The sequence below is a fragment of the Homo sapiens genome, chromosome 8, assembly GCF_000001405.40.
Source record: "Homo sapiens chromosome 8, GRCh38.p14 Primary Assembly".
Classification (NCBI taxonomy): Eukaryota; Metazoa; Chordata; class Mammalia; order Primates; family Hominidae; genus Homo; species Homo sapiens.
In genome coordinates, this window is record NC_000008.11 from 105,359,394 (window position 1) to 105,380,520 (window position 21,127).

General features: G+C 36.3%; 1 protein-coding gene across 5 annotated transcripts in view; it reads left to right on the forward strand.

Annotated features, from left to right (window-relative positions):
* The window catches only part of ZFPM2 (zinc finger protein, FOG family member 2), a 486,102-nt gene that overhangs the window by 40,956 nt on the left and 424,019 nt on the right, over nucleotides 1-21,127 (forward strand). The window lies entirely within an intron of this gene.

Sequence of the window (21,127 nt, forward strand, 5' to 3'; positions counted from 1 at the left end):
GAGACAGAGTCTCGCTCTGTCACCCTGGCTGGAGTGCAGTGACATGATCTTGGCTCACTGCAACCTCCATCTCCCAGGTTCAAGTGATTCTCCTGCCTCAGCCTCCGAGTAGCTGGGACTACAGGCACGTGCCACCATGCCTGGCTAATTTTTTGTATTTTTAGTAGAGATGGGGTTTCACCGTGTTAGCCAGGATGGTCTTGATCTCCTGACCTCATGATCCACCCGCCTCAGCCTCCCAGAGTGCTGGGATTACAGGCGTGAGCCACCGCGCCCGGCCCCACTCTGGGGTATTTCTATATAGCAGTATGAGAGTGGACTAAGGCACCCACTCTCAATATTTCAATTGAAAAAACTATATCCAAAGGTTTCTGATCTCTCATCCATCATTATAAAATGCAGACTGACATTTTGAATCCAATTTTTTGTTTCTAATATTGATCATTTTATAAGTTTCATCTGTTTTTCTGAATGAACTGATTCAGCTGAACTGATTAAAATATAAACCAAAAGAGCTAGATCGCTATGATGAGCAAGGGAAAGCCCACAGTCTTCTCTAAGAGTAAATGTATGCCGTACTCAGTTTTATGTCACTTTGACCTAGCAGAGAAGGAAAGCAACTGAAGAGCAACCTTATTCTGGCCCTATTTTGGCACTTAGGTTGGTTTCATTTTGGTACATGGCTCTGTTCTTTCATCATACAGGGAAGTATTTGCAAAATGAGTGAAATTTCAGATTCTTTGAACAATTTCATCAGGCTGTTTTCCTGAAGGACAGAAGTTGTCTCTGTACCGAATTATTATCACTTCCACATATTTAGATAGATGCTAAAAAATAAGGAATATGGAGTTCATTATTAGTTGTAATCTTGGACTTTAAAAAGTATTCAGACATTTCTTGAGATCTTTAACTTTTTTGTTTGTTTGTTTAAAAACTCATTTTTATTTTTACTCACAGTAAAAAATTAAAATAAATACATGATTGAGGAAACAGATGAAAAATGGAATTGCATACTTATCACATTTTTTGGCAGATATAACATAGCTTGTTTAAAAGAATGGGGAACATACTTTTATTTATTTATTTAATATTATTATACTTTAAGTTTTAGGGTACATGCGCACAATGTGCAAGTTAGTTACGTATGTATACGTGTGCCATGCTGGTGCGCTGCACCCACTAACTCATCATCTAGCATTAGGTATATCTCCCAGTGCTATCCCTCCCCCCTCCCCCGACCCCACAACAGTCCCCAGAGTGTGATGTTCCCCTTCCTGTGTCCATGTGTTCCCATTGTTCAATTCCCACCTATGAGTGAGAATATGCGGTGTTTGGTTTTTTGTTCTTGCGATAGTTTACTGAGAATGATGATTTCCAATTTCATCCATGTCCCTACAAAGGACATGAACTCATCATTTTTTATGGCTGCATAGTATTCCATGGTGTATATGTGCCACATTTTCTTAATCCAGTCTATCATTGTTGGACATTTGGGTTGGTTCCAAGTCTTTGCTATTGTGAATAGTGCCGCAGTAAACATAGGTGTGCATGTGTCTTTATAGCAGCATGATTTATAGTCCTTTGAGTATATACCCAGTAATGGGATGGCTGGGTCAAATGGTATTTCTAGTTCTAGATCCCTGAGGAATCGCCACACTGACTTCCACAATGGTTGAACTAGTTTACAGTCCCACCAACAGTGTAAAAGTGTTCCTATTTCTCCACATCCTCTCCAGCACCTGTTGTTTCCTGACTTTTTAATGATTGCCATTCTAACTGGGGTGAGATGGTATCTCATTGTGGTTTTGATTTGCATTTCTCTGATGGCCAGTGACGGTGAGCATTTTTTCATGTGTCTTTTGGCTGCATAAATGTCTTCTTTTGAGAAGTGTCTGTTCATATCCTTTGCCCACTTTTTGATGGGGTTTTGTTTTTTTCTTGTAAATTTGTTTGAGTTCATTGTAGATTCTGGATATTAGCCCTTTGTCAGATGAGTAGGTTGCGAAAATTTTCTCCCATTTTGTAGGTTGCCTGTTCACTCTGATGGTAGTTTCTTTTGCTGTGCAGAAGCTCTTTAGTTTAATTAGATCCCATTTGTCAATTTTGGCTTTTGTTGCCATTGCTTTTGGTGTTTTAGACATGGAGATCTTTAACTTTTTGCCATTTGTTACATATATGTGCTAGTTATTTATTGTTCTCTCTAGTAACATCACCTAAATAATACTATCTAGTGTTATTTAAAAATGTAGATTACATCATCTGTATTTATGTAAATTCTTTTTAAAAAATAAATTTTCAGAATAATGCTTTATGGAAATTGAAGCTTGCATTTAATAGATTCTATATTCAGTCATGTACTACATCATGATGTTTCAGTCAACAATGGGCCACATATATGATGGTGGTCCCATAAGATAATATTACCATATTTTTACTGTACCTTTTTTATGTTTAGGTATGTTTAGATATGCAAATACTTACCATTGTGCTATATTTACCTACACTATTTATATAATAACATGCCGTACAGGTTTTTAGCCTAAGAACAACAGGCTGTAACATGCAGCCTGGGCAGGTTTACTCTATGATGTTACATAACAATGAAATCACCTAACAGTGTATTTCTTAGAACGCATCTCTGTTGTTAAGCCAGGCATGATTGCATGTGAATGTGTGTGTGTATGTGTGCATACTATTTTTTTAAATCCTACGGTATATTATTGAATGTATAAGGATAATATTTGTCTCTATCAATTTAGTCTAGCTTAGATCTGAGACTCAATTATAACTTTCAAGTCATCTAGAAGTAAAATCATATTGCATAGGAGATTCTAAAGCACTTTATTTAGGTAGAGGCAGAATTTGCCCTGCCAAATTTTTTTTCATTATCCTCTTAAGTTATGTAATATTGTGAGGTGACAATAACTATACTGGATCAGGGTAACTGATCTTTATATTGGTGCTACTAAGTTCGTATTTTACAGCTAATACTGATTGTATTGGATTTGTGTTATGTCTGACGCCTACTGAAAAGTTATAATGCCCTAGAGGGTTATTACTATTAGTGATACTGAGATGCTGTGATGATAGCAGGCTCTTCATTTAGAAGACTCAGATTTTAGATTGCTTTGTTTATTGCTGCGTTCTGTTGATTATATTTATTTATTTTTAATTTTATTGACATTACTCAAGTGCCGATTTATATCATAATGCTAGAGTCTTGGAAGGTGAAGAAGGCATACTTATGTTAATAAAACACAGTTCCTTTTCTCAAAATGGTGTTCCCCTGAGTGAATAAATGCGCGGAAAGTCTGAGTGTACACAATATTGGAAGTAGCAGCTTTGTGAACCCGTTTGTAATATTGGCAGTGTTGTGTCATTCAGTTTAAATTTGTTGCATGTTACTGATTGATTGCTAGAATTTTAGTGCAGAATTCCCTTGGTTGGAAATCAGAAGAGTCACACATAGATCAGAGGTCACAAATAAAAGTGTTGTTTTCTTCTAGCATAGCTGTTGATTTTATTATTTAACAATATTTCCTAAGGTAGCCGGCTGTGTTTAGAGGGTGCTAAGACAGCTGGAGTGGGAGAAAGAACCCTTGGCCAATATTTTCCTTTTCACTTGGTTAACTTGGTTACTTTTTAAAGGGATTCATGAAAGTGATCAAGAATGAACGTGTATCCCCACTCACCTTTACATGGGTCAAGGACTTTGCACAAATCGGACTACATGAATATTGCATGTTTCATAAGATAATTCTTAGTACCTCTTTCAAGGTTTTAGGATCTTGATAAAATTTTAAATGATCTTTGTCTCCATTTCATCTATGGATAGTAGTGGTGTCACATATATTTTCTCTGTGGCTTGCTAAATATATATTTAATAGAAAACATTTTTATCTTTCCACTGTGGGTAGCCACACCATGAAATGTACATTTTACAAGATCATTTGCTATGTGACTCTAAGGTGAAAGCATTGCCAAATTATTTTGTTCTGCAATATTTGTGTAACATGTCCTTTGTAAGCTTTAGTTTTTTAATTTTAATGAGGGAAGGAGTGAAGAAAACTAACATGTATTATGTGCCCACCATGTACCAAATATTCTACTACATGCTTTAATTTAGATTATCTCATATTGTCCTCACACTGACACTTCATATTAGACTCAGAGGAATAAAGAATGCGTCTTAGATTCCAACTCAGCTCTGTCCAACTCCCACAACCATAGTATTGCTATTATGGCATGCTGTCTCTTACCATGAGGCCATGTGCTGACACACTGTGGAAGGTGCAATAATAAATGATATGTATTCCTAAGTTTGGGGAAACTTAGGAATGCTAAGTTTGGGGAAACTTAGGAATGGAGCAGGCAGATAGCTTTAGTGAAAACAGGACATAGAAGATACTAAGGAGCTGTGTAAGCCATGAGATCTGAGCATATAGGAAGAAAGATCTATTGTTTAAAATGAATTTTTCCCTCCTTGAATTTTCTAAAATTAACTTAATTTATAAATAGATATTTCTCAGTATGTGGTTTATAGTCTGTCTTATGTACTGCATATTCTTGAAAACTGAGATATAGGTTTTTTTTCTAGAAAAGAAAATTTGTAGAGAAAGAAGAGGAAGATGTGTTGTAGACTACAGCTAGGCATAATCAGCCTCAATTCCTATATAGTGGTCTTAGCTTCAATACAGAATTCTGACACTAAATGGATATTTTTATAGGCATATTGTTTATTCAGAAGTTGGGGAGACTTAAAATGCATGTCTTTCCTGATATATATGAGCTACATTTTACTAAGACAACCTTAATTTTTATAATGTAAATTTTTATAATGCTATAACATACTGTCTGGAAGTAGGAATTGGTTGATTGGGGGAGGGGAGAGCCAATGTAAATCAGAGAAGCAATAATTACTAGGTCAAGAAATAGGGCAATTAAAAAAATAATTCATGGCAAGTAGGAGTGAGATATTTACATTCTGAAATTAATTATGGTACTTTTTATTTAAATTAAAATCAGGAAGAAAAGTTCAGGAAAAAGAGGTTCAGGGAAATTTTATATATATTCATCTCAACTACAAATTAGTAAAGATCTTATATTCAACAAATGTGTCAGAGTCCATTAAAGACATTAGAAAACCCTATTTCATTGTAACTAAACTGCTTGACATTTTAACCTCCAAACTTTTTTATAATCAAATGTAGAGATTGTGTCTGTCTTGATAAGTCTACATATAGTATCCATGCTGCAAGAATACCAAAAAAAAAAAAAAATGGATCCTTAGTTTTACAGGATTGACAAAGATGTCTGTTGGCCAAATCAAGTGTAAGAGTTCCTGTAAAGTCCTCAGATCAACAAATTTTTAAAAAGAAAATCTTTTATGTTCACTTAGACAGCAACCAGCTCGAACGGACAATCCATTTCTTGTGTAGTGCATCCTTAGAAGCTGGCTTTTAACTCTGAAGGTCTATGGTCTTGGTCTTTGGCCTTCTAGGGTACTGATAATTACTGCTCCTACTGCACCTCCCGTTTAGTCCTTCGCTTTCTATTCTTTGGTTCACTCTTCCTTCCTTGTCACTTCCCCATTAAACTTTTCTGTCCTGGGCCCTATTATCTCAACTTGCTCTCAGCCCCAAACTTCCTTATTACTCACTCTGATAAGACCAGCTTGGTTCATAAGTGCTGGTGTAAAGAGGGCCCTGGCCTGTCCTGTCTCATTAGCAACTAGGGTATTTAGCATGCTTTCAGTGTGTTTTTGGTGATCACATAACTCACAGGAAGAAGCTAATATATGGTAATTTTAGATCCACTGATAGGTGAGTGGAAGAGATCATTGGCCTTTCAATTTGCAAGTCTGATCTTTCCTCAGCTTATATTAGAAATCTCATTTGAATTTTGGAATGGTGATATAAAAGACGAGGTTTTAGATTTGAGGACTTAATTGCTGAGAACATGTTTGCTGGAACCAGATAAAACTTCTTCCAGTGGATGGTAAGCCTGTCTTGGGGTAGCAAACTTAAGGAATGAAGTAAATTCCATTATCAGATATTCAATTTCAATATTTAAAATAGGTGATTAAATATGATGCATAATCTCTGGAGTAGTTTGTAAAAGTGACCAACGTAAGTCATGAAATTTGCGGTTAAAAAGAATTCTCTGATACATTTTTAGATATTCATCCAATAAAATCAACAAGCAGCAGTTAGTTAGCATCAGTGGTTTTTGTTTGCTTGTTCATTTAGCAAAATATAATGTGGAAAGCCCCAAAGGAAACCATATTGCTTAGCGGGGGAGAAAAATGATTTCCCTTTTAGTCCAGTCAGAATGGCCTCCCATCAAGACAGACTGACGTGCTCAGCCAGGACCACCTTACTTAGTGGCCTGGACTTGGGCTTCGATATGCAAAACAGACAGAGATTCCTCAGTTTGTTCGGAAATTTGCAAACGTAGGCACTTTTCTAGGGAACAACTTTATTTAATTCCTCCCTTCATTTAGTTTTCCGTGCAATTCAGAATCCTCAGTTTTCAAAAATGATTGATGATTTCCAATGCCCCAGAGAAAATTTCAGCCTCTGTTAAAACTTAGAGTATAAAAGTGTAAAACTTCCCACATCTTTATAAATGTATTGTTTAAATAATTCACTGCTGATGGATTAAGGGTTAAAATCCAAGCACTATTTTTGATATCAAAATGATACTATCATATCTCAAAATGAGTGTTCATGCTAATTCCGAATGCAGAATGACATATTGACTTGTGAACACATTGAATTGAGGTCAGTTGCTTCTTCATTGTGTGTGGAAGTTACGGTATTTTACGTAATTCAATCGATAGGCATTGTCTATGATAGTGAATTACCTCTCTTGGACTTTTCATCTGTACTAGGGTTGTTTTCTTGCTAGGTAGGGAGAAATCCAAGAGTAAAGATTGCTTGATATAGAGGAGAAATCACTGAGGAGGCATCTTTTAACATCTTTTTACTTTTTTAACAAATGAAGTTAATTCTTTATTAAAGAGATACTGCAAAGAGATACTGAATCTTTATTTACATGGAAGATAAGTTGGACAGATGTATCACAAGGAGAATTCTTTTTTTTAATTTTTTTCATTTATTATTATTATTATTTTTTAATTATACTTTAAGTTTTAGGGTACATGTGCACATTGTGCAGGTTAGTTACATATGTATACATGTGCCATGCTGGTGCGCTGCACCCACTAACTCGTCATCTAGCATTAGGTGTATCTCCCAGTGCTATCCCTCCCCCCTCCCCCCACCCCACCATAGTCCCCAGAGTGTGATATTCCCCTTCCTGTGTCCATGTGATCTCATTGTTCAATTCCCACCTATGAGTGAGAATATGCGGTGTTTGGGTTTTTGCCCATGAAGTCCTTGCCCATGCCTATGTCCTGAATGGTAATGCCTAGGTTTTCTTCTAGGGTTTTTATGGTTTTAGGTCTAACATTTAAATCTTTAATCCATCTTGAATTGATTTTTGTATAAGGTGTAAGGAAGGGATCCAGTTTCAGCTTTCTACATATGGCTAGCCAGTTTTCCCAGCACCATTTATTAAATAGGGAATCCTTTCCCCATTGCTTGTTTTTGTCAGGTTTGTCAAAGATCAGATAGTTGTAGGTATGTGGCGTTATTTCTGAGGGCTCTGTTCTGTTCCATTGATCTATATCTCTGTTTTGGTACCAGTACCATGCTGTTTTGGTTACTGTAGCCTTGTATTATAGTTTGAAGTCAGGTAGCGTGATGCCTCCAGCTTTGTTCTTTTGGCTTAGGATTGACTTGGCGATGCGGGCTCTTTTTTGGTTCCATATGAACTTTAAAGTAGTTTTTTCCAATTCTGTGAAGAAAGTCATTGGTAGCTTGATGGGGATGGCATTGAATCTGTAAATTACCTTGGGCAGTATGGCCATTTTCACGATATTGATTCTTCCTACCCATGAGCATGGAATGTTCTTCCATTTGTTTGTATCCTCTTTTATTTCCTTGAGCAGTGGTTTGTAGTTCTCCTTGAAGAGGTCCTTCACATCCCTTGTAAGTTGGATTCCTAGGTATTTTATTCTCTTTGAAGCAATTGTGAATGGGAGTTCACTCATGATTTGGCTCTCTGTTTGTCTGTTGTTGGTGTATAAGAATGCTTGTGATTTTTGTACATTGATTTTGTATCCTGAGACTTTGCTGAAGTTGCTTATCAGCTTAAGGAGATTTTGGGCTGAGACAATGGGGTTTTCTAGATATACAATCATGTCGTCTGCAAACAGGGACAATTTGACTTCCTCTTTTCCTAATTGAATACCCTTTATTTCCTTCTCCTGCCTAATTGCCCTGGCCAGAACTTCCAACACTATGTTGAATAGGAGTGGTGAGAGAGGGCATCCCTGTCTTGTGCCAGTTTTCAAAGGGAATGCTTCCAGTTTTTGCCCATTCAGTATGATATTGGCTGTGGGTTTGTCATAGATAGCTCTTATTATTTTGAAATACGTCCCATCAATACCTAATTTATTGAGAGTTTTTAGCATGAAGCGTTGTTGAATTTTGTCAAAGGCTTTTTCTGCATCTATTTAGATAATCATGTGGTTTTTGTCTTTGGCTCTGTTTATATGCTGGATTACATTTATTGATTTGCGTATATTGAACCAGCCTTGCATCCCAGGGATGAAGCCCACTTGATCATGGTGGATAAGCTTTTTGATGTGCTGCTGGATTCGGTTTGCCAGTATTTTATTGAGGATTTTTGCATCAATGTTCATCAAGGATATTGGTCTAAAATTCTCTTTTTTGGTTGTGTCTCTGCCCAGCTTTGGTATCAGAATGATGCTGGCCTCATAAAATGAGTTAGGGAGGATTCCCTCTTTTTCTATTGATTGGAATAGTTTCAGAAGGAATGGTACCAGTACCACAAGGAGAATTCTTTTAAGGAGATAAGTAATAACTGGTTACTAGTACTTACTATTGATCTTATCTCAGACAATCTCAGGCCCAGTGTGTCTTCCTTGCTGGTTTATTTGCTCTTTGTACTCTTTCCACTTTGAGCCCAATCAGACTGAATTAGCTGTCATAGGCATTCAAAAGTTAAATTAAAACATTGATGCTTAAATCTAAGTATACTTGCTTTATACCAAGCAAATGAGAGAAACAAAGGTTTTTAAATTTTTTTTTCTTAATTTTATTCCTGATTTATTTCATTATGTAACTGAATACTCAAGAATATGGCAAGTTTCTTCCTCCCCAGATCCTTTCCTCTTGACCTCCCTTATGAAAATGACTGTGTTTTGCCCTATTTAGATTATGGAATGTACTGTTTCCCTTTTCCTGGTTTTTGCTCCCAGTATCCATAAATTTCAAGATAGGGGAAAGAGGAGTAGGGGTTGTTGTGTTGGCACAGCCCATCAGAGTGCCTGGTGCATAATAGCTGCTCCAGAAAAATATGTCTCAGCATTATCTAGAGCTTGTCATTTCTGTCATCTTTGCTTAGCTTGAGGTGATGTGCAACTTTGACCTAGGACCTTTTTGAAGTGCATGGCTATGAGTCCCAGTGGTTCTCTTTCATTTGATTTACAAAGTACTTCTCAACATTAACTTTGTAATGAAGGAGCTTTATTCCCAGAAGATATTTTAGCCAGCGGTATACATGTCATGATTTATGACTAGAGCAAATAATAAAATATATAAAACCACACATGAAGGAGCCCATTAGGTTATTTCTAGATAACTTTGCTCCTACATTTAACTGGCTATGTTTTTCCATGTCTATGTCTGATAAATGGATTTATCTCAATATCAGGTTTTCACAAGATTAATAATCCCTCTTTGTTAAGAGGGTCTGTTTGAAATTGAAGACAATTATCCTGACGTGAATTATATAAATATGTGCTAAATATTATTATGTTTTTATACTTTTAAGCATATCTAATATTGTAAGTTTTTGATGGGGTATCATGCAGAAATAGGAGGTGTACTCAGTAGGAAAAAATGGTGAGGCTAAAAATTTTTTTTTAACTTGGGTAATACTATGGTCTCAAAGCTTTAACCTGAATTATTAGTGCATATAAATCCATCTTCTTAATTAAATGGGGCCTTTGGCCATTGAACGCCAGCATATGGACAGAGTTAGTTACTAGATGATGTTATGAGGCTGGCCTGGCCACATAATCCATTAGACGTAGGATTCAGTTATATTAGTAGCAGCAAAATGATTTTTATGGTTGTAACAATCTTCTCTTTGTTCTGTCAGTATCAATTATTTCAGTCCTAATAAAAATCTAAAAAGGGGGTCAGGTTTATGATCTGTGCTTTGGATGGATAATTTGTAACTTTTCTATCCAGTAGGCCAAGAGTTTTTTCTTTTTTTCTTTCTGGAAAGGACCTATACTATGTAGTTTATGTAAACTACTTCATTGTGTGCTTATGGGTGCAGTGAGAGTGATTTCAAGAGCTTATAATGTTAGAAAATTTCACTGAAGAGCATGAATACACATACAAATAATAAATATGAATATAGTAGTATGTATCTATGTGTTTGTGATTATAACAGTGAATATTATGTATTTCTTTTGGGAATTATATCAGTGTTTGTCAATTATGTTTAAGACTTTGGAGGAATAATTTATAGTAATATGTTAAAATGTATGGTAATAAGTGAGAGGAAATCTAGTTACTGGTCCAGGGTCTCAGTCCACCTTTCATATGAAGCACTAGGAAACCACTGAGAAACAACTCATTGAAATGACAGTGCAAAGTAAATCCAGTGCAAAACTGGCATAGCATCATTGGGTGAGGGGGTAAGAAATAGAACCTGTTTCACATGGTTATGCAGAAGACAACAAAAGATAGCATACGTAAATTGCACGATAGCTAAGTACTCAATAAGTATTAGTTCTTTCTAATGGATAGACATTTTTTAAGGGAGGTAACTACCAGTTCAGAATAAGAACTAATTTTCTAGTAATTCTTACCTTTCCCAAATTGTGACGTAATGAAATTTCAGCCTAGAAGTGTTTAGTTAATCATCCTTTAGAGACGTTGTAAAGGGAAAAACATTGAATGGAGGTTGGGCTACATAAACTTTATAAATGACTTTTTAGATATTTTGTCCTATGGGGCAGATGCCCCATCTTAGTGATATGCATTATAATGTGTACAACATGGCTTTATGGAAACCTGAGAATAAAAGGGGCTATTACAGCAGGAGGGACTTCAGCAGCCACAGACTGGTTAAATTAATGGGATTAAGTCAAGAGCAAGTGCACCACAGCTCCTCTTTTGATAAAGACACTTATTGAAGACTTTCTTTGTGTTAAGGAGTGTTGCAAAGTTTTTATATGAATTGTTTTAACTTACAGTGTATGTGCTGTATTTTATGCCTGAGGAAAACAAGGCAGAGAAAGGTGAAGTAATTTGCTCAAAGGAATCTAGCTGGTAATGTACAGATCTGGGATTTGAACGCAACTTATCTAACTCCAAAGCCAAAGCTCTTCATTCCATGTGTTGTGCTGTGTGTACACACAGCAGCAGTTGTCCTCATGAACCTCTGTGATGGATTTTGAAGATGCTGTAATTCGTTGCTAGACGCATCTTTAAAATATTGGGTGCTACTGACTCTGTGATGCTAATTAGGCCTGGCACCTCTGTATGGGTCTGTATTTTGCAGGACATGAAGCCTGAATTCAAGATGTTAGGTAGAACTTTGTTAAATCCTAGAAATGTTAAGCCTCTATTTAATACTTTTGTTTTAATATTCTTGTTTCTCTGTGTGTGTGTGAACCCATATCCACACACAGTGGTATTGCTAGAACATATACTGAGCTGGTCAAACAAAATTGTATAACGAGGAGAAAAAGATAGGAAATTGAGTAATACTCTCTTTTGTCATGTTAGTCCAAAAGCTGAATATTTAAAGAATTTATACTTGCTGATGATGGGCATCTAGAAGGTTAAAGGAGGTAGATCTGTACACTTGGCTTTCCTGAGTTGTAATGTGGTCTGGAAATAATGGAGGGTGGAGATAGTTACATTGTCAGCATCCAAGAACAGAAGGGATTTTAGGAAGAGTTTGTAAACTTAGTGGAAGGAAACCAGATCAAAAGTTATGTAAGAACTGGTTACAGATGTTATCTAAGGGCATAGATTCTTTAGAGCAATCAGAAGGTCATGAAAGTAAACAGATCGAGATATACACTCTCAAGTGGTTATACAAACTCAAATTCAGGAAATTTGTAAATGAACAGGAATTATTAAATTTTAGGTCATGACTGGAGGTATGAAATTAAAATACAAATTATTTGCATATGCTATCAGAGAAAGGTGATACCACCTTATATAAGACTAAAATATGAGACTAGATTAGATTGTTAATTGCATAAAAAATGTTATAAAGGACATTATTAGGATGATTGGCAAAATTTAATCTGTACTGTGTATTACATAATTGTGTTCATCAAAATTAATTGTTCTGAATTAGTGAAATATACTCTGGCTACATAATAGAATGTCGTTTTTCTCAGATGATATATACTGGACTACTTAGGATAAAAGGTCATAGTGCATGCAACTTACATTTCAAATGGTTCACAAAATGATAAAAATAGTGAAATTATTATTATTATTATTATTATTATTATTATTATTATTATTATTTTATTTTTTTTGAGACGGAGTCTTGCTCTGTCACCCAGGCTGGAGTGCAGTGGCGTGATCTCGGCTCACTGCAAGCTCTGCCTGCTGGGTTCACGCCATTCTCCTGCCTCAGCCTCCCAGGTAGCTGGGACTACAGGCACCTGCCAACAGGCCTGGCTAATTTTTTGTATTTTTAGTAGAGACAGGGTTTCACCGTGTTAGCCAGGATGGTCTTGATCTGCTGACTTCGTGATCCACCTGCCTCGGCCTCCCAAAGTGCTGGGATTACAGGCGTGAGCCACCGCGCCCGGCCTATTATTTTTAGTACTGAGAAAGAAGCATACAGAAAATGTGGCAAAATGTTAGCAATTTGTAATTCTAAGCAAAGGGTATGTGCATGTTTATTATTTAGTATTGTAACTTTTGAAGGTTTGAAATATACAAAATAAATTGTAGAAAATAAAAATGTTTCTAACAAGTAAAATAATAATAATATCAATAATAAAAGTAATAATGTTTACTGAGCTTTCTAGGTAAATAAAAGTCTGGTAGATGGAAAAGTATTCAGAGATTGGAGTAACTGCACTAAAATATCATAGTGTCCTAGGGTTGATTTAAACATCTCTATATTAGTGTATACTTAGTAAGAAGAGAAAACTCCTCAAACAGTTTCTTAAAGGGCAGTGAATTTTTCAAATTACCAGAATATGTTTGAGTTATTTAATATTTAATGTAGTCATGTAGAAAGGAAAGAAAATAAGTAGGAAAGGAAAGCTCTTCTAAGTTTTATCCATCAGGACATGCACCGTATTAGGAATTTTAATGGGAAGCAAGGAAAGTTTCACGATAATGATAGGAATAGAGTGGAATTTAATAAATGAAAAAAAGACTTCAGAAAATATAAAGGGAAGTAAGAGAAAAATGTTTTAGGTGGCAATAATATTCAAAATCCATAGATTATCTCCCAGTTCATATGCATAAGGGCACCAAGTGCTCTGACCAGCATGGTTTTAGATATAAGATTTCTTATCTTTAAGGATTTGTAAAACAAGAAGTCCATTACTATTCTTGTTGGCCAGGAGACCTCTTGTTGGCAAATTGCCTTGGTCTTCTATTCTCACTATTCCATCGTGATTGGCGTTTTTCTTATCAGCATTAGATGAAAGCAGAGGATCTAGAAAGAGTCAAAACAACCCATATTTTAATTTTTACTTCCTCAGTTAAGCCAACCATTCACTGAACCTTCATTCACATTTTCACAAGATTCTTCTTTCTCAGCAGGTACATCAAGAAATCATTTTGAGCTCTTAAAACCTGGCATTCCAAGTTCAGTTATTATTTCCTTTCTTCAATTTTATTTTTCTTTCTCTCTATTAAACTTCCATTTAAGGAGTAAGATCGTTTTTTTCTCCTGAAATCTCACGCCATTTCTTAAAGGCATCTGATGGAGAGTAGTCTTAATTTCACAGGAGAGAGCTTCTCTGGGCCTTACAGTCATCATTACAGATTATGTAGGCAGAGTAAAAGAAATCTCACATGAATAAACACAGTGCCTTAAAAATATAAAGAGTGCTAACAAAATGGAAGATAGATTATTCAATTAAATAAATTGCAGAGAAATTAATGCCTAACTGCATATTCAAGCCAGAGAAAAGCTATAACAACAACAACTACAACAAAACTAAATAAATGAGATAAAAACAATAAAGAAAAATGGAAACTATGTTTTTTTAGTACATTAAACTCAAGGAAATGATAAAGGAAAACGCTGTCCCTCTGTCAGATAGGAAAGGAAAGCTCTTAACTGATGACATACAATAGGCAGAGACTTTTAATAAGCATTTTCTTTACCTCTGTCTTCATGCATAAAAGGTCATCTTTGATCCAATCACTGGAATAGCCAACACCTGGGCTGGGAGGGCAGCAAGTCATGATAAAAGAAGGAACGAACTAGATATTGTGTACAAAAAATAAAAGGTTGTTCAAGTGCTGGGGTTGGCAAACTTTAATATATAAATGGAACTCTTTTAAGTATGGGATGTCAATTCTCTTTCCCTTTTGGGTCTTTCTGTTTATATGTCACATATACTATCTCTCAATTCAGTAATATGTAGGTTTTGTATAGGCAGAGCCTAGAGGAAATTAAACATGAGCATGACATGGCCCCAACTCTCAAGAAATCCCCACATAGTAAACTAGTCTTGGGTGAAACTTTTTAATAAAGAAAATGGTATGACGTGATCTAGATATGTAATTATTTATGAAAGATACACAACTTGCTAGATAAATTGCTCATAGTTCCAGAGATACTTACCAATAGTTTTAAGCAACTGTAAGGAAACTATTATGTTACTTAAGTATGAGTTTTAAACTAAGAATTTTTTTTTTTTTGAGACAGGGTCTTGCTATTTCTCCCAGGCTGGAGTTCAGTGGCACATTCACAGCTCACTGCAGCCTCAACTTTCTCCCCCTTCAGCCTCACAAGTAGCTGGGACTACAGGTGCACACCGCCACACCCGGTGCAATTTAAAATTTTTTGTCGAGATGGGATCTCCCTATGTTGCCCAGGCTGTTCTTGAACTCCTGAGCTCAAGCAATCCTCTTGCCTCAGCCTCCCAAATTTTTATTAAATAAAATAATAAAATGGTAGTGTCACAGGTGAGGAGAAGAGGGTGAAGAGACTATAACAAAACTCTGGTTAAGTGGACAAGCATAGGAACATAGGGCAGGTAGCAGGGACATGATGTGGGAAACCACTCAGAGTGGTAACAAGTTAACATCTGGATCAGAGTCCAAGATAACTCCTGGATTTGTCAATATTCTTTGTAGGGTAGCTCCAGTTTATGGGAGTAAAGACAACATTTTTTTTTTTGGGTTCAGAACCTCTAACTTCCATAGGTAAAATGAGGGATCTGTCCAAGACTACTCTGCAGGGACTGTCTGCCCAAACCAAAGCTGTCAAGTCCTAACTTGCTTTTGATTAAGTACTCTGATAATTAAGTATTCATGCTATCTTTGTTTGTATTTGGGGGCAAGGATTTTGGAGATAATAATTTGTGACTATTATTTGATATTTGTCCAATGGACCTAAATTTTTTTTCCCAGTCCATGGCAGCCTGGATAGGAAAAAAACAAAACAAAAACAAAAACAAAACACTTTTTTAGCTCTGAAGCCCAAATCTGAATTTTAGGATGTACCACACTTGAGAAAGGAAAATTATTTTCTAGAAAGGAATCTAACAGGGTCCTTCATTGATGGAAAGAGCCCTAAGACTACCAACTACTTCTATAAGGTAGGAGAGAAAAGGAAAGAGAATCAGGGACAGAAAACAGTTGCCTGGAGCCTCTATCTGCAGGAAAGCTGTTCCTTAGGAAGGGAAAAGATAGGCAAAGGGAGAAAAGGAGAGGGAAGTGGGACCACAGCAGGTGAAGACTCTGGTCTCTTACTAGTGCAGTAGCAAAGAAGGAAGAGAGAATCGCACCTTTCTCTATGACCTTTGTATGCTCAGTGTTCCAACTGCTGGTAACTCTGGCAGAATTGGTGTCCTGGAATATAACCAAGCAGATTAGAACTCCCTTCACCAGTTGAGTAGTGAAGATAGGAGTCTGTAAAGAGGCAGATGAGGCCTTGGTATGCAGATTAGATGTTGTGGGCTTAACTATTTTCTTATATCATTTATCAGTGTCTTTAATGTAGACAAAAGTACAAACTGAAAGAAAATTGGCTTATAATCATAGCTGAGATAAACTTTTTGAGGTCAACGAACATGTTCCTCTGTGGAGTCTACTTCTTGTCCAAGGGTTTGCTGTGGTTTATCTGTTCTTTCTTCTGCAACATTTCCCTGTAAATACAAGATCATTCCAACATGAATAATAATAACAAAGAACTTTATCATCATCTATCACAAAATCCTTTCTTAACCCCATATACCACCCCACTTCTCTATGCCCTATTTAGAGCAAAATGTCTTGAAATTGTTGTCTCTAGTCTTGTTTCTATTCTTTCATTTCCTCTTCTCTCTTCAACTCCATCCCATTCTGGAAAAAGCCCTGAGATTCCTCAGCACTCCCCTAACAGAGCTGTTACTTTTACTAGTGGCCTCCATTTAGACAAATCCAATCTTCACCTCTCTTAACTCCTAGCATCATTCAGCAAAGTTGACTACTCCCTCCTTCTTGAAGCACGTTCTTCTCTTGAGTTTGGTGACATCACACTCTCTTAGTTTTCTTCCCATTTGAATGGCTACTTCTCAGTTTTCTGGATTAATTTCTCCTCTGCTCAATATCTAGACATTGAAGTTCTTCAAGACTCTCTCCTGGACCTTCCTCTCTTGTCAGGCTGTACTCTTTCTCCAGGTGATGAATTTTGATCCTATAGCTGTAAATACCTTCTGTCTCTGAAAGGCTTTAAAATCTTTATTTCCAGACTTGAATTCTCCCTGGACCTTCAGACTCATATTTCCAACTGCCTACACTCTTCACATGGATCTCTAACAAGCATCTCAAATTTAATGTGTCCCAAGAACAACTCTTGGTCATGTGTCTCACAAATCTGTTCCTCTTCAATTGTTTCATCTCAGCCAATTTCATCAACATACATCCAGTTTGTCTAAGTAAAAAAGCTGGGAGTTAGCATTTATTCTGGCTTTTGCATCTTCTCATATCCAATCTATTATAAGTCCTATCTCTAAAAATATCTTCTGAATTCATCTATTTCTGTCCAGTTTTAGTACAGATCATCATCTTCTCTTGCCCAGATTATTGCTGCCTAATGTGGTCTCTCTGAAATTCACTCTTACTCCTTAGAATCCATCCTGGGTATAGCAGATAAAGTAATCTTTTAAAATAATGATACCATGCCACTCACTAGCTTAAAACTTTTCAATTGCTTCCCAATGCAATTAGAATATAATCTGTATTCCTTGTCCTGGCTTTGAAACTTCCTGCTCAGCTCTCTGTCCTCATCTTGTACCATGGTCCTCTCATCTCTGTGCTCTAACCATGTGGCTCTTTCTCAGACATGCCATGTTTATTCCCACTGTTCCCATTGTAGGGCTGTTCACCCTGTCTTGAATGCTCTTCCCCTGGGATTATTGTATGGTCATTCCTTCTTATCACGTAAGTCCCATCTGACATGTCATCTCTTCAAGGAGGGCTTCCCTGACTTACCAGATGAAGTAAACACCTCATCATAGTAGCCTGTTGCCCGATGTTGGTAATCTTCATAGTGCTTACAACATTATAGTTTATTACCATATTTTGCTTAGTTTGTTTATGCAGTTTATTTATCTATTTATTCACTGGTTGTTTTATTTTCTTTGCTTACTATCGCCTCCCTCTAGAATGTAAACCCAAGGAAATAGAGAACTTAGTTCTGAAAGAGGCCTATAAGAGTACCTGTTATATAGTAGTACTCTAGAAACATTTGTTGAATAGAAAAATGAATGACTGGGCTGGGTGTGGTGGCTCATGCCTGTAATCCCAGCACTTTGGGAGGCCGAGGTGGAAGGATCACTTGAGGCCAGGAGTTTGCGACCAGCTTGGCCAACATAGCAAAACCCCGTTTTTCTTAAAAATCCAAAAAAAAAAAAAAAAAAAAAAAAAAGCCAGATGTAGTGGTGCACATCTGTAATCCCAGCTACTCGAGAGGCTGAGGCATGAGGATCGCTTGAACCCAGAAGGTGGAGGTTGCAGTGAGCCGAGATTGCACCACTGCACACCAGCCTGAGTGACAGATCAATACTCTGTCTCAAAAGAAAAATAAAGAAAAATGAACGACTGAATGAATAGATATTTGGATACCTTTTACAGAAATTTTTTAGGTGCACTTCAGACTATATATACTTCCCTCTTAACAACAATTTGATTTCTTTGAAGTTTGAACACCTTGAAGAGTATTCTGTTTCCCTTTCTTTGGATGAGTGTGTAAAAAGTGTGCTTCCCAGTTTCAGTTATGGGAAACTAGGGAAGGATGACTGCTGTGATGGATGTGAAAAGAAGAGGATTCAAATTATTGCCTCAATGCATATTATATGTCACTATGATTTTTTAATTAAAAAAGTATTGCTATCAACTGGGATATTGGATGATATAGCCAAATGAAATTAAGAAAATTAAATGGAAAGAGCCCTACCTTTAGAGTTGGAAGGTGAGCTGCAGAAGACTAAGTAAAACAAGAGCTTTATGGTAATGAATGTGAAGAAGAACTGGGGGTGAACTAAGAATTAGGGAGGCGGGGTCCCCAAGGAACACAGTAGATATCCCTCAGTTTCTATCTGTAATCCTATATTTTAATCCATAGTTAAGACACATTTTTTTCTTATGAAAACTTACGATATTTCCAACCCGGAGCCATCACTCCCTTGTCTGAACTCTCAGAAGGTTTTGCCCCTATCTGTAATGATAACTGCTTTCTTTTAATATTTGTGTACATGCCTTAATCTTTCCTCCTAGGCTGCAAACTCTTTAAGATGAAGCACTGTGTTTTGTTTATTTTAATTGCTCTGTTCCACATAATTTTCTACAAATAGTTGGAGGACGCTCGGTAAATATTTATTTTGTGACCGAATGAATAAATAGCAGACAAGGCTAGATTATGTGAGTATATGTATATTTCTTTTAATAATGAAACTACAAGAGCATCCTCATTATAGAAACAAAAACTGTTGGGGAGGTTTTATTTGATATACCGTGTATGTTTTTAGGTTTAGAGAGGATGGTAGTCTCTCTAAATCTAACAAATGAGATAAAGAAGAAGAAAATAAGATATTTCTGATATTTGCCACTACTCTAGTTGGTTTAAAATTAAGACAGTTTTAAGAAATTTAAGACATTTAATTAATCAAGGATAGGTAGGTATGTAGATAGATAGGTCAGTCAATCAATAGATAGATGATAGGCAGATGGAGTATATTTAGGACCTAAAATTGACATAGATGGTTAGATAGGTAGGTAAATAGGTAGAGATATAGGTAGATACGTAGGTAGATAATTAACGTCTAGGACCTATTTAGATAATTATACTGTTTTCCTGTGAAGATAACAATATGTACTACTTTTGTTTGTGGTTTTAAAATTGAATTTAAATGTTAAAATTTCAAAAAAATTGTTCTTGTTGATTTTTTTAAATAACTTGTTAATTTCTACATTTGGCACAGTTTTTATTTAGTGGCCTAATTTAATTGCTGTGTATTATTACAGTGTGATTTACAAAACTTTATCTTATAACTTTATATCTGCATATGAACATCAAGTTTTAAAACAAATCAAATTCCCACTGATAGCATAAACAATTAAAAAAAACTTCATCAATAATTGGAATGCAATTAGAATTTTTATCCTCTTGAGTTTATATGAGATGCTTGTGGACTTGAGAGGAAATATTTACAACTCATCAGTGAACCAGCAAACCAGTGGCCAAAATTTAATTAAAAGTTTACATTGGTCCGGGCACGGTGGCTCACGCCTGTAATCCCAGCACTTTGGGAGGCCAGGGTGGGCGGATCACCAGAGGTCTGGAGTTTGAGACCAGACTGACCAACATGGTGAAACCCCATGTCTACGAAAAACACAAAATTAACCAGGCGGGGTGGCGGATACCTGTAATCCCAGCTACTTGGGAGGCTGAGGCGAGAGAATTACTTGAACCCGGGAGGTGGAGGTTGTGGTGAGCCGAGATCACGCCATTGCGCTCCAGCCTGGGTAACAAGAGTGAAACTCTGTCTCAAAAAAAAAAAAAAAAAAGTTTACATTGACTGTAAGAACCAAAACTGGCCATGAACACATGGTATAGACCAATATTAATTTTCTTTTTTGACTACTCAGTAAAGTGATGTAATTTTATTTCACAATGTAAAATGAGGAATGAGAAAACTATAGTCCTATCATAGGGCAGAAAATACACTGAGGATGGGGTCTTGATCTTATTCATTATTGTAGTCCTAAGTCCTGAGAGTGCCTGCGCATATAGGAAATACTCATGACAAAATGCTCCGTTATATAGAAATTCAGATGTGATGTGAATGTAGGCTCACTCTCATCTTTCACCTAGTTCCTATTTCGTTAGCTTTCTAACAGTGATATTGAATTTTGATACAGATTTTGACAAAGACTTTCTGTAGTCGAAAGTCAATAGTTATTTGTAGCAGGAGGAAGTGAGTTAGTTGAAATACTTATAGAAATATTTGCTATATTTCTAACACACAGTAATGCCAAAAATATATAAGATGCTGATTATAGCCTACAATATAAGTAAAGTGGAGTTGAGTTCCTGTTTGTGACTCTATTTTACTCTGTAGGAATGATGACCCCACCCACTTTATGCTCATTTTTTATATGTTAAGAAAGAAAGAGAAAGGCAGGTGCTGATATTTGGGGCTGGCCTGGTGGGCTGTGGTGTTCTTCTCTTGAACACTGAATCTCACTCACGATCAACATTACATAAGGACCCTAGGTGATCATAATTGGCTAGACAAAAATGATACTACTACATA